Raw genomic sequence first — 14,296 nt, forward strand, 5'->3', positions numbered from 1 at the left:
AAATGGGCTGCGGGGTGAGATCAAGTGGTTGGATCTTCCAAAATGAACAGGAGTACTGTTTCAACAAGAGTGAGTGCTGGGAAGCAAAACCACAAATGGCCAATACAAAGTATCATTAGTAGACCCCACTTAATACAATTCACATGTTAGTGGAACCAAATGAAATTTTTAAAAATATATATCATTCGATTCACACTTCTAATCAAACTATAGTTCTGGAGAGGGTAACCTCACACCTTGAATCCAAAATATCTCTTCAGTTGCTGGCCTTCCACTTGTCTTCAGGAGCTGAAACACATGGCATTTGAAAAAAACTGGCGAACAGAGGAAACTCTTGCAGCCTCGCAGCCGCCCTGGTCCAGTGCCAACGGCAGGAGCACCACAGGAAGGGACCGCGCGGGTGCGCCCCACCCTTCCAGCGTCGCCTCGGGGACTCGCACCCCTTTCCCTGGCCGCACAAGACGTTTCATCCTTGGCGGCCGCCGCCAACCCGCCGGGAGGGGCGGTCGGAACTGGCAGGCCGGGGCGGAACCCCCGGGGTCTCCTTGTCGAGGCCCGGGCAGCCAGATCCTCAGGGCCGGTCCGGGCGGGAGCCCGGTCGATGGAGGCGGCTCCCGTCCTCAGCTCCCGCTCCCTCCCCTTCCCCGGGGCGGGCGCGCGCGGGCCGGGAGCTGGGAGGCGGCGGCTCCCGCCCGGGAGGCGGTGGCGAGGGCGGCGGAGGCGCGGCCGGGCGGGTCCCAGGGCCGTGGTTCTCCAGCGCAGGAGTCCCCGGCGCACCCGCTGCGCTCGCCCCGCAGCCGCAGCCTGAGCGGCCGAAGTCGCCACCAGCTGTGTCCGCGCAGATCCCGGGCGCGGAGGGGAGAGGTCGCCCGCTTGTCGCCCCCGCCGGACCCCGGGCACCGCGTAGCACCCAAGCGCCACCCGGACGAGGGGCCCTGGGGAGCGGCTGAGGCCGAAGACCCGAGGGAAGGAGGAGCCCGCGGACGGCTGCAGCCCCAGGTAATCTCCATGGAGGACGGGGCCGGTCTCCTCGCCCAGAAACCCGATCCGGGCGCCTTGGAATGCGGACTCCAGAGGCGGCATCTCGACCAGACAAGTTTCTCGCGGCTTGGAATGAGGGAGTCCTGAAACCGACACTCGTTTTATTTAACCAGCTTTTTTCTCCTGTTTTAAATAAGTTTATTTAGACAATGGAAAGAAAAAAACAAACAGCCTCTTGAGTGACTGTGGGTTTGTAAATATAATCCTAAAAGTTTTTCATGGTGTGGTTATTTGCTTGCTCATATTTATTAACCTGTTAACTCTTCCGCTAGTCAGAAAATTGACATGTAAAATATTCTTTGAGGAACGTTACAAGTTTGCTGTTGTATTCGGGCATCCTGTTATTCATCAGCTTAGTTAGCATCTGTCTTCCCCCGAAGTGGTACCAAAGCCGGTCCCTTGGCGACGGGTCTTGCATGTGACACTCTTGCCCTCTAGTGCCTCACCAGCTTGGTAGCAGTTTGATGGCTAATATTAATAAGATGTTACATAACATGAGAGTACTGGGCCAGGACTGGTGTTGCTACCACTTGTAAAGTCAAAAAGCCTGAGCCGATGGTAACGAGTGGTACTGTTTCCGTTTCTTTTCCATCTATTGCAACTTTCTCAAGCATTTTCAGCTCTGAACTTTAATTCCAGGTAAGTGTATTTATTTATTTATACTGTGCATTAATGCCTCACTCATAAATGTAGGGGCTTTTAAGAGATAACAACTTTGCTTTCAAATAATCTAAAAATTTCAAGATTGAACAAGTGCTTCATTTTATTCTTGAAGAAGAAATATAGAGTATTTTGATTAAATTAAGTGAAACAAAGGACCGTCTCATTCAGGGATGATTTTAAAGCTTCCCTTTCATAAGATTATGGTACTAAAGAAATGACCTCTTGTAATTGTTTAAGATATTCACCAACTTATAATGATTCTGAAGTAGATCTGTTTAACAGAACACATGTCTGTTGCCTTGACAGAATTTTGTAAGGAATATCAGAGACTTTAAACTACCTGCCTATCTACACAGTAATGATCCTCAAAAGGCTTTCTATTTGATGCAGTTTATAGACATTATTTAAAACTATACAATTAATAAAATTAAATGGAAATGGAAAGAATCAATCTAGGTATCAAATACAGAAACTTTAAATTTAAAGAAAACAGATATATCTTCTATTTAATATATCCATTTTGTGGGGGCAGGTAAAAGCAAAGTTACATCTTTAAGGGGTTTACTCAGATCCTTTTTCAAATAGTTTTTCTAATAGCTGGATACTGTTTAAGCATCAGAGTTATTTAATGTCGAAAATGTATTAGTATCTATATTCTTTATAAACATATTGAAATATAGCAACATGTAATCTGGAAGAGTTTAGAAGAAAACCCTTCTAGACAATGCAAACAGCTACATTCTTAATACATTTGTATTAAATTAAAATACAAATCAAATATTGAGATGTGTGCAACTGATCTGGGACACACACTTTTTTTTTGTTTTTTTTTTTTGCCCTTAGAAAATTTCATGTTATCAACTACTGAGCAATGCTGTTCACCACCAGAGAGCAGGATGATATGGCAGAGAAACTCTAGAATATCCGATATTCAGCTGAAGGGAATTTTTTTCCCTTTTTCTTCATCCATACCTTCCTATCAATATTATATTTAAGATGGAGATTTCAAATATAAGTTTGAAGGAGGCTCCTTTTTAAAATAGTACTGAACATATAAAGAGGCTTGCCTAAGATAAGCTCTTTTTTTTCTTTCTCTGGTTAACACAGTATCTACCATTTCTAATTTTGTTATCATTTTTCTTTATCATCTTGATGGTAAAACAGAAGATTTGTTTCTTTGTGTAAATAATGTTAATTTTGAGCTTGTCACATGAGTTAATTTTCTTCATAGTCTTTAAAATGAAGAATTCTTACATTACTAAAATGTTTTAGATAAAATAAAACTTTTATCTCTTTCTGGAGATATTTGTTATAGTTTAGTTTGGTGGAGTTATATATACCCTCTTTTTAAATTAATTTTCTTGAGAAAAGCATTATTTCTGAACATTGAGGCAAATATTAATTTTTGGTGTAACTGAAAAGTTTGTTAAAAAATATATAGTAGAAGAGATAATCAGGCATTGGAGATTCTTTTTCTAAACCATATATTCTGCTAAAGAAGTTATTATAAGCTAAAATGTAAATATGTAATTGTCTACCTGTCATTTCAAAATTTTAAAACTGTAAAGAAATTACAATTTTTTTTCTTTTAATCTTGGGACTCTGATTATATGACTTCCTTGAAACCTGATTGAGTTTCAGCTGCTTTTTGGTGATTAGAGCCTTAAAAGTGCATTTGTTAAGATGCAAAATATATTTTTTTAAACTATATGTAAATACTTTGTGATTTATATACACTATAAAATCAGGGAAATTGAATTAAGGATAAAAACACTATTCTCAACTAAATGAATGCCTTGAATTTCTAATTGCTTAACAGTTCTGACAGTAAGGGAAAACAGTAGAAGTTTACTTTCCCTGTGCTGTGTCTATTATAAATGAGCATTCACACTGAAATGCATGAACTCTGAACACCTGTCCAGATTAGGAATGCTGCCAGGCCACAAAAGTAACGACCTACATTATAAAGATAATTAGTCTGAACAATCCTCAAAACTATTTCATGACTGAAGTTTCTCGTAAAGGGGTGATTTTAATATTTCTTGGTTTGTCTGTTTGTTTATAGTAAAAAACTATACTCTTAGATACCTGGATATCACAGTGAGTGATTTATTCTTTCATGTTACTCTAAACATTTTCATCGATTTCATGTAAGTTACAGGACAAGAAAAAAAAAGTAGTCAGGACCTACTACAATTAATTAATGTCTATAAGAAATTATTTCCCCAAATCTTCTACAAATTACTGAGGGCTATAATTCTTGATTACCTGTTGCCAAATAAGAGCTTAAAAATCAATTATTGCAGTCCTATCCTAAAACCTTTAAGCATCTCAATTATGGGTATCCATTTTACATGTGTTTCATTGCTGAATTTTTTTTTTCATTAAAATATTTGAAAATAACATGAAAGTAGACCTAAATTCTAGGACTGGCTCTGCCAAGACAGGAGTGGCCTTGAACAGCTCCCTTGCTGGCTCTGGGGCTTGGTTTCTTCACCTGAAAAATGAGGATTCCAGAGACCCTTTTTTATCCTGTTTGTTCAACATTTTAGAAATTGATCTGGAGGCCAGGACGAAGATAGATGAGAAAACATCAGTGAATAATACAAAATTTAACTTGGTGATAAGTACTATTGTCTAGATTTCTGCTAAGTAGAGATGTTACAGTTTTTACTCATAGAATAGTTACCTTGTACCAGGCACTGTTCTACTTTACATATTAATTTTTAGCTCATATAATCTTCACAAAGATTATTTAAGGTAAATATTATTCCTGTTTCACAAATGAGGAAATTGAGGCACTGAGCGGTTACCTACCTGCCTAAGATCACATCCCTGGCAAGTGCTGAAGCTGGTATGCAGTTTGAGTCCGGCTCCAGCACACATTCCTTTAACCGTTATACTACATTGTCTCTCTATAGGTTTCAAATATTTGTTCTTGATATGCCTCTTGATGGAACAGAGGTAATCCATATACCACTCCAACAATTTCCATCACTTCCCTTACATATGAAATACTCATTCATTCACCCAGGAGGTATTTACTAAGCATCTACTTTTGCACCAGGCATAAAGGAGTCCACAGGACAATTAAATGTGGTGCCTTCCCTAGCTAAGTATATACAGTCTAGTTCAGGTGATTTCTTTCTCCTCTTTTGCTACTGCTGTTAGGTTGAGTCTCACTTGTTCTAAAATGTGCCCAAGGTAACAGAAGAATAATTTACCTGACGCCTTTATTGATGTGTCCATAGAATAGAGAGTAATAGAACCTTCAACCTCCTCAAGACTCCCTATATCATATTTTTTCATTATTCGTTTCTACTCTTTTTGCATCATCTTCTCTCTGCAGATTGGCTGTCTTTCCTTATCTGGTTCATGTAACCTGCCCTAAAACATAGCCAACACTGATCTGTAACTTTACATCTAATGGTCCAGGCAACCAATGAGAGGCCAGGTTAACACTCTCTTGTTCCCATGAGTCTAATGAAGGACAAAGAAAAGGTTTGGATTAGACCCTAAAAGCTGCATTGTCAGCACTCACATATGTCATATGTGAGCATGTGTGACAGAATATGTCAGCGTATTTTGATGCATGCATTCTGGTCCAATCTTAGAGGGTAAAGGCAGACATTTTCCCCCTTAAGTCATATAGGGCAGAATAAACAGCAAACAGCAGTGGGGTAGTTTTCTTCTCTTGCATCACTGGATGGCATAACACTGAGGGAGGTGAATAAAACATATTCTTCTCTTCATAATTTCTAATACAAAGATGGAGGGAGAATGATAATAGAAAGTCATTTTCCATTTAATGTACCAAACAAAGCTAATGCCCTCAAGTGCAGCTTTTCTCCCATCCATCTTTTAAAAATTGCAGTTCTAGAGACAGAGTGTATTCTTGGTCATACTCCATGTAAATCAGCTTCTTACTTGCCTACCACAGCAGGGTTTAATTAACATGACACAATTTCACACATTCTTTCCCAAAGAAAAGCTTGCCCTTGTCAATTTTTATTATTATTACTAAATTACTTTTAGCAAGTCCATGTAACATATTTGAGGCCTCCCACTGCATTTTTCAACATTATAAAATATAGTTTTATAGTTCATTCCTTTTTCAGAAAAAGGAATATTGTCAGGATCTTTTAAATATCTTTCATTTATGTTAGAACCTGAAGCTCTTTAGTTATTAATACTCATTTTCCAGATGGTAATCTTTTTTCACTTTTCTTGTACTGCCAACTTTAACATGATTCTATTTCATTTAGAAATTGATTTTTACTTTGGGATGATGGTGGGTGTTAGTGGAAGAGAAAAGATAGGTTACATTGACAAGCAGGCACTTCCCCTTGCAGATATTGCAATACTTTGCAGAATATATGTTTGTATATATTGAGTTCTTTCACTATGTTATGGAATTGTCTGTGATTCCAAAAACTAATTGCTTCTTCTGCCTTTTGTTAATGGTAAATAATTAATGGTTAATATTTGCTTGGTGGAGTCTTTTTAAAAACAGATGCATTGCAAAGCAACTCTATTCATGCTGAATTCTGAAAAATCTCAGAATGGAAAAAATAAGTAATTGAGTAAATTTCAGTGAAAAGCACATTCTGGATATGCCTGATTTATGGCTCTGATCAAGGTGGTCACTGCTATTCACAATGTTTATATTATTGCCTTGACTGTTTGAGGCCAGTGTGACTGATGAAGGTAGCTGTTCATAGAAGATGGTTTGACTTAAATACTGCCCTAGTTTGTGAGTGCCAGCTGCTATTTGTAAAATTTAGTAGAGGCCTTTTTTCACTCATTCAACAAATATTCAATGGGCTATTCTCACTTCAAGTACTCTATTAGACATTAAAAATATAGAAGTGAACAGGACAAGTACTTACAGATGCTTCCAAGCTATGGAGAAAAATTGCATAACTAATTATAACAGAAAATCACATAACTAATTATAACTTTGGAACATACTACAGAGGTAAAGTAGAGAGTGATGTGAGAATGTGTAACAGGGAGGCCTGACAGATAAGGGGGATCAGGGAAGACTTTTGTGAGGCAGGGATATATATACTTAGAACCATAGGATTTGGAAGATGAAACCAGATGGGGAAGTGGAGAAAAAACTTTCAGACAAAGGTAGCAGCATGTGGAAAGACCCTGAGACAGAAAAGAGATTATCTCTTTTGGGAACTGAAAGAGGACCCACTTGCCTGGAACTTAGAAGGGAGAGCATCATCTAACCAGGCCTGAGAGATAAAAGTGGGAAGCATACCACACAGGGTCTTGTGGGACATGTACAAGAATATGAATTTTAACCAGCAAGTAAAATAAGCAATCATTGACAGGATCTCAGCTGGAAAGAAGTAACAGAGTTCCACTTTGATGCTGCATTGAGAAAATGGTAGAAGGAGCCAAGAACATTTGTGGTGAGATTAGTTGCTGCAAGTAAAAGAAGGTGTTAAGGATGCACGTAGGTGATTGTGGGACCATGAGGATGGTTTTAGCGGAAAGATCATAAATTCAGTTTTAGACAGGTTAAGTTTGCTTGTGACATGATTCTAGTGGAGCCAAATAGTGGCTGGAATATAATAAGAAAGGGCACAGTCTATGTGAGTTGTTGTTGCTATTATATCAAGTTGATAGTTCAATATAAAATCCTAGAGCTTAGAGGAAGGAGGTCTGAGTTATGAATGAACATTCAGAATTTACTAGAGTGTAGATGATAATGAAAACCAAGAAGTATATGAGCTCATCTAAGGAAAGGGGGAGGGGTGAAAAGAAGCCCAAGGACATGGTGCTGGTTATGCCTCTGATTGAGCCTCTTTCTTTCTTTCTTCTAAGATCCATCCGACTTTAGATCTCTGCACTAAGGGTGGGCTTATGTGCTTCCCACAACTCTACTTAAGCTAAAATGCTCATAGCTATCCCTTTATGAACCCTTAGTGTACTTTCATTGGTCATCTTCAGGATATTTCCCTCATTTCCTGTGTTATTTCTATTATCATCATCATAGCAGATAAATTTTGTTTGTTCATTGTATGTGCCAAACACTATTATAAGAGTTTGGTTTTTGTTGTTGCTTTTGAGACAGGATTTTACTCTGTCGCCCAGGCTGGAGGGCAGTGGTGTGATCATGGCTCACTGCAGCCTCCACCTCCCAGGCTCAAGCGATCCAACCACTTCAGCCTCCCAAGTAGCTGGGACCACCTGCCACCATGTCCAACTAATTTATATATATATTTATATATTTTTATATATATATATATTTATATATATATATATTTATATATATATAAAATTTTGTATATTTTTTGTAGAGATGGGGTTTCGCTGTGTTGCCCAGGCTGGTCTCCACCCCTGAGCTCAAGTGATCTGCCCACCTCAGCCTCCCCTCGTGCTGGGATTATAGGGGTGAGCCCCTGCACCCGGCCTCTAAGAGCTTTAACCCTCATTAAAATCCCCTTAGGAGATATCATAGTAGCCCATTTTCTTAGAAGGAAACTGCAGCATCTAAAGATAATAGCTGCCCAATATGCATTTCCTACTTGTTCCTAGCATGGAAGGATCGTGTTGCAGTTATCTTCCCAGGTGTATGGTATCTTTGATGCAGGCTGTTGGAGTTCATATTTCAGTTCTACCTCTACTAGCTGTGACATCATGGGCAGGTTACTTCACCTCTAAAGGGTCCAACACAATTTCAGTACCTATGTAAATGTTTATTAATATTAGCTGCATTACTATTGTTATTCTATATCTTCCCATATCATATTATTTCCTTCAGGGTGCCTTATAGGAAATCTTGATGATGTGTTGACATTTATAACTGATCCAACTTTGTAACTTTCTCGAACCTAACTATTTCAGAATGCCTGTCTAAGTGATCTGTTGATTTTCAAAATTTAAAATACAGTTTCCTGATCAGTCAGCATAGTCCTCATCATAGGTTGAATTCGGAGCAGAATTCAACCACAACTGTCAGTTCTGTACTGCTGATCAAGACAGTTGTGTCTGTGGGAACTCTCTGACATGCAGGCTAGTGTGCTTGTTCTGTACTTATTCAGAGTACCCTACTGACCATGCAAAAGTCTTCAATTTTCTATGTATTTTTGTGCAAGCATTTCACGAACATATTCATCACTATACTGAAATGTTTACATGTTGATCTTGTTGGCCTTTAAAAGTGTTTTCATCTCATTTCTTTTTGAAAAATTTGAAAAATTACTGGGAAAAAACATGAGCCCTATGCCCTTGGAAATTTCAGTCTAACAAGGAAGACAGACATTAGACAAATAATATTGTTAATAATATTTCATAAGAGTTATGATAAAGTCTCCAAAGGGAGCCTCATCTAAAGGGGAAGAATACAGTTGGTCAGCAAAGGCTTCCCTGAGGAATTGGGTTTTTGTAGCACATTCAGACGTGCCTGTAACCTGTCAATTCCAAAGATTTTCTTGACATTTTGTATTTGTCTACATCCAACTATGTTATATAACATTGTGATTTTGTTATCTAATCATGTATAACTTAGTCCATCTATCTATCTGAATCTGAAGTGTGCATCACTGAGTCAAGCCAATTTCCCCTCTTAGTTTTATGTTTCTATTATACTGGCATCTTTATCTTCTAGTCCCCAAGACTGCTACCTCCCCCAACCATAATTTAACAGTAAGCATGTTTTTTTTCTTCTTTCTTCCCAAATATCTCTCATTTCCATTCTCTCTCAAAACCACCTTAGTCTGGACCTATACCACCTCACACATGGATTACAGCAGCAGCCCCTTAGCTGGGACTGTCTTGACTCTGCCTACTTCTTCACTCTGCACAGTGTGGCATGTTCTCTCTCTGTTCATATTACTGCTGTTCATCATTCTGGGTGTCACTACTACACTAATCATCTGTAAACACTGTCTTTATCAAATCCCTCTGTTCAAATGCACCCAATGCTCTTTATTTTCAAGCTCATACTCTTGTACTTCACAATCACTTTCAAGGACATTCATTAATCTGCACCACTCTTTTAATCAAATATTATTTCCATTTTCAACCCCAAACATAGTATCCTATATTTTAGTTAATTTCACTCTGAGCTAAGCACATTGTAACCATTTCATTTCTTCAACCTTGCCAGGGAGTTTTGCCTGACATGTTGTCCCCATCCTCATATCCAAACCCAGTGCATCATGGCATGTCACTTTCAAGCACCATGTCTCTTAGAAACTGCCACTGACTTTACTAAGCTTCACTAATCTCTCTCTCTTTCTCTCTGTCTCTCTCTCTCTCTTCTGAAACCTGTAACAGATAGTCTATACTGCATAAATCACTATTTATTATGTACAACATACTGTTGGCTGCTGTCTCACAAGTCTCATTTCCCTTAATAGAGTCCATTATCTAGGGGAAAGGATTATTCCTAATATCCTAATATACTTCCGTGGTGTCCACAGTATTTACTACAGCACTAATTCCAAAGTAGGTGTTCAGTAAATACCTGATCACTAATTGCATAATGATAAGTATTTTTGGTGGGTGAAGGTTTTATCTACCATAGATATTATGATATTAAATTTATCCCATGTTGGGATGCTATGATTACATTAACTTAACATTGAATGAAATAGTTATTTGTAACTTCAAAAGATAAGTTAAAGCATTAGAATACAGTAAAAGTGTCAAATTAACCTACAGGTGTAAGATGCCATTGTATTCCATTAATTCCACAAAAAGTCATTGCTCCTGGCACAAGTGGTGCAATGATAGGCAAAAGAAAGGTACTATCTCTACCCTCTTGGAGCTTCCAGGCATACAGAAAGTCTGACTTTAAACAAAATTTTAATTATGGCAATAAGTACAAAGGAGATGCTCTTTTCACAAAGACCATGTATACCCACTGGTCTTACCAAGTTTGAAAAGTCAGAGAAGGCACCACAGGGCAATTGTGGCGAGGAGCTTAATTTTCCATATTCATCCATCTGCATGATGCCTCACAAGTGAAGGGCTCAGGTGAAGTCTGTAACTTTGCCTTTGCCTACTGCTACGGTGCCACCTTCCACAGGAGGAGTGACAGCAACAGGTCAGTCCATCCTGAAGTTTTCAGAGCTAACAGAAACATGGAAGAGAATGGGAAGTAGCTGTCCTTGGATGAGTTTGTAGTATGAATAGAAAGCTCTGAGAATCTGCACCAGAGACTGAAGTTGGCATGGCAAAGTGAGATGTGCAATTGAAAAAGGTTTGCAGAAAACAGGAGAATTTTAATGTATGCATTTAAATATGTTAGACCAATTCCTCAGGGACGTGCACTGGAATTTTTTCTTTAGCTTCAGAAGGAAACTTGAAGAGCTTAATAGAAAAGAAATGTCCTTCAGCATTTTATAATGGCTTACAGAGAAAATAACTTTGATAGATTCCTAATATCTGTCCTAAACAGTGAGAGCAAATACTCTTCACCACTCTGCCTCATCACAGATAAGAATTGTATAAGTTACATGCCTTTCACTTTTGACAAAGGGGACAAATTGTAAAATGCTGCTATCTAAAATGGAAAATGTAGCAATACATTTTATGTCTAGTCAAAAACACCTCACAGGTAAAATTGAAACGTAGAAATGGGAGGATATGAGATTTTGTATTCTGCTGTTATGCTCCAGAATATTATAGTCATAAGAACGTACATAACTGTAAAAGCGCAATTACTTATCAAAATGAAATAACTATAATTACAATGAAAACTCTGTTGTCCAGGTAAATTTTTATTTGCTTAAATATCATCTGTATCTATACCAGAGCATTTAAAAGAGACCTCACATGGCATGCCAAGTTCTTGTCCCCCTTTCTCTGCAGTGTTTGTAAGATTTGTCCCTTCCCTACAATTCTCCCTCACCTATGATGATTAACAGTTTACGACTACATTGTGAGAAATGAGACTGCACTGGCGTGCCAGATCAACTCTGTAAGATTGCTCTATGATATTCTCCATGTTATTAATTCTTGTCCCAGAAAAATCTGTTATGTTATCCCCCTAATCAAGAAAGTTGTGTGTCTCTAACAGAATATCACAGACTGGATAATTTATAAACATTAACAATTTATATGGCTCACAGTTCTGGAGATTTGGAAGTCTAAGAGCATGGTGCTGGCATCTGGTGAGGGCCTTCTTACTGTGTCATCTCATGGTGGAAGGTTGAAGGGCAAGACAGCATGCACAAAGGGGCAAGAGAGCAAGAGCCAGCCAAACTTGCTTTTATGACACTCTTGAGATAAGTAACCTGCTCCCAAGATAATGACATTTATCTATTCATGAGGGCAGACCCCTCATGACCTACTCACTTCTTCTTAGGCCCCACCTCCCAACACTGTTGCATTGGGAATTAAATTTCCAGCACACAAACTTTGGCGGACACATACAAACCATAAGATCTCCCTACAATCTTTCACAACCTCTGTACTCTCAAGTCTTAGCATAATCTGGGTTACCCATACATAGTCAAATTTATTTTTTAAGTATTTCTCACTCTTTCCTCCCACTCATTATTCATCATCCTTACCCAATATTGTGCTCATTCCTGCCTCTGTAACATTCCCTCTATCTCAAATGTCTCTTCAAATTACTCCCATCCTTCAAGGCTCTACCCAAATCCTACTCCACAGTACAGCCTCACCACCCCCTGGAGCATTCCACAGACTCCCCCACTTGCCATGGTCTCTTTCTTCTCTCATCCTGTTATAGTCATTGTCTCTAATCCACAACCCTCACATTATTATCATTCTTGTCACTATCTCTGCTTTATAATTTAGAACATTTTAAATAAATTCAGTCTGCTGAACATTTATATTTTAAATAGCATGAGAGCTACCCCATAAATGTTTGAATGCATGACATATATACCCTAAATATTTTAATGAATGAACTACAATATATAATTTAAAAGATAAATAACACATTTATCCTGTAAATAGAATATACCATAAATATCCTACAATTCTATTCTAGAATGTTATATTATTCATAAAGATAAACATATTGTTCAAAATATTGTTCATTGTTTATGTCATAGAATTTTGGAAGCAGAATGTTATTCGTGAACTTCATCATTTTACTTGGTACAGAGGCCCAAATGACACAATAAGTAAGAAGCAGATGTGCGATAGACTCTAATCTTATGACAAACACTAAATACAGTATTTTTCACCTGTGCTTGTTGTTGTACCAGCTAGCTTTTAGCCTGCCTTATGTAGAATCACAGGACCTGTCTTAATTTTTTTATGTTCCATTATAATTTCTTGCAAAGTTCCAGGACCATAAAACTCTAATAAGGTTTTGCTCTAAGAAGCACCCAGGAATTCCAGAGGGGGAAGGCAAGATGGCCAACTAGATGCAGCAAAGAAGTGCTACTCCCACGGAGAAAAACCAAGGGTTTGAGTAAATCAACATAATTTGGACAGATCTCTAGAAAGAAAATGCTTAAAGTAGATGGAGATGCAATGCAGATGCTGAGGCTGAGAAGGGAGAAGGCAGGCACAGGGTACTGGAGGCAGGGCTAGTCCCTGGCCCTCAACAGCTCCGGGGGAATAGGTTCATGATGGGACTGTGGGACTGCCCACCCTCACCATGTGCCTATGGGATCCTGGCTTAGAGGGCCCCGCATCCCCCATGGACACTTGATCTGACAAGGGGATCTGATTGGAGAGTAGATAAAGACAGAGCTTCATCCAGAATGGAACAGGAGCCTTTGTACATGGTGCAGCTCTGGCAGAACATGGTAATAGGTGTCCATAACCCAGGTCTCTCCATCTCCCTCCAAAAAGCTCTAGCCACAGCTGACCACTAGGCCAGAAGAAAGTAGAGCTGACTTCCCTGTGGAACTGGATCATGTCTGTTCTGCAGGCCTTCCAGCCTGCCAGCCCCTCTCAGGGCCACACCCTAGCAGCCCTGCAGGAACATATGCACAGTACAGCCTCTGCTGCCCAGCCTGGGTGCCTTGCTCCACCTGATTATGTTCCTCGTGGCTTGGGAGCACTTTGGATTCCTCAGAGCACCCAGAATCCAACTCCAAGTACCTGAAGGATGGAGCCCCAATTCCATCCAAGTGCCCGAGGGCTGCAGCAGCCACCTCAGGAATGCCAAGCCAAGTTCTGTGGCTGGCACTCAAGTGGGAGAGGAGCTCACACTCTCAAAGCACTGAGAGGGGTGAGATGCCTATTCATGGGCTGGAGTGGGAGGGGGCATGCCTCCCTCCACAGGATTTGCCAGGAAAGGTTGTCTCCCATCTACCTGCTGCAACTTCGGACCAGGGAGCCCTGCAGCACAGACACCTAACAAAAGAAATGCAGACGCACTGTCAGTGATCAGAGGGACTCCCCCAAGGTCCAAGAGTGGACATGGTGAGGAGGTCACCTCTCTCCCTGCCCACTGCAGAGCACAGCTGCAAATGTGAGAAATACAGAGGAGCCATGCAGCTAGATAAGAGGCTATCTACTGCCCATTACTCTTCAGCATCATCTACTGGATCCCAGCCCAAACTACCACGCCAAAAATATTTTGCTACTATACACCCCTGTGAAACCAAGGGCAAGAATTCAGCCACAAATAAAGGCC

At 39.7% G+C, this 14,296-nt stretch overlaps 1 protein-coding gene across 9 annotated transcripts in view; it reads left to right on the forward strand.

Moving 5' to 3' along the window:
* Nucleotides 1-409: 409 nt before the first annotated feature.
* NDST3 (N-deacetylase and N-sulfotransferase 3) overlaps nucleotides 410-14,296 on the forward strand; it is a 225,313-nt gene continuing 211,426 nt past the window's right edge. For 5 of the 9 annotated variants that reach the window (NR_146514.2, NM_004784.3, XM_017008839.3 and 2 more), the window contains exon 1: nucleotides 1,574-1,680. The gene's annotated coding sequence lies outside the window, so the exon portion shown is untranslated. Of the gene's footprint in view, nucleotides 1,000-1,573; nucleotides 1,681-14,296 lie in introns of those variants that run through there. The other 4 variants (NR_146513.2, XM_006714416.4, XM_017008840.3 and 1 more) reach the window with 1 other exon arrangement.

This window comes from Homo sapiens, chromosome 4 (assembly GCF_000001405.40).
Source record: "Homo sapiens chromosome 4, GRCh38.p14 Primary Assembly".
Classification (NCBI taxonomy): domain Eukaryota; kingdom Metazoa; phylum Chordata; class Mammalia; order Primates; family Hominidae; genus Homo; species Homo sapiens.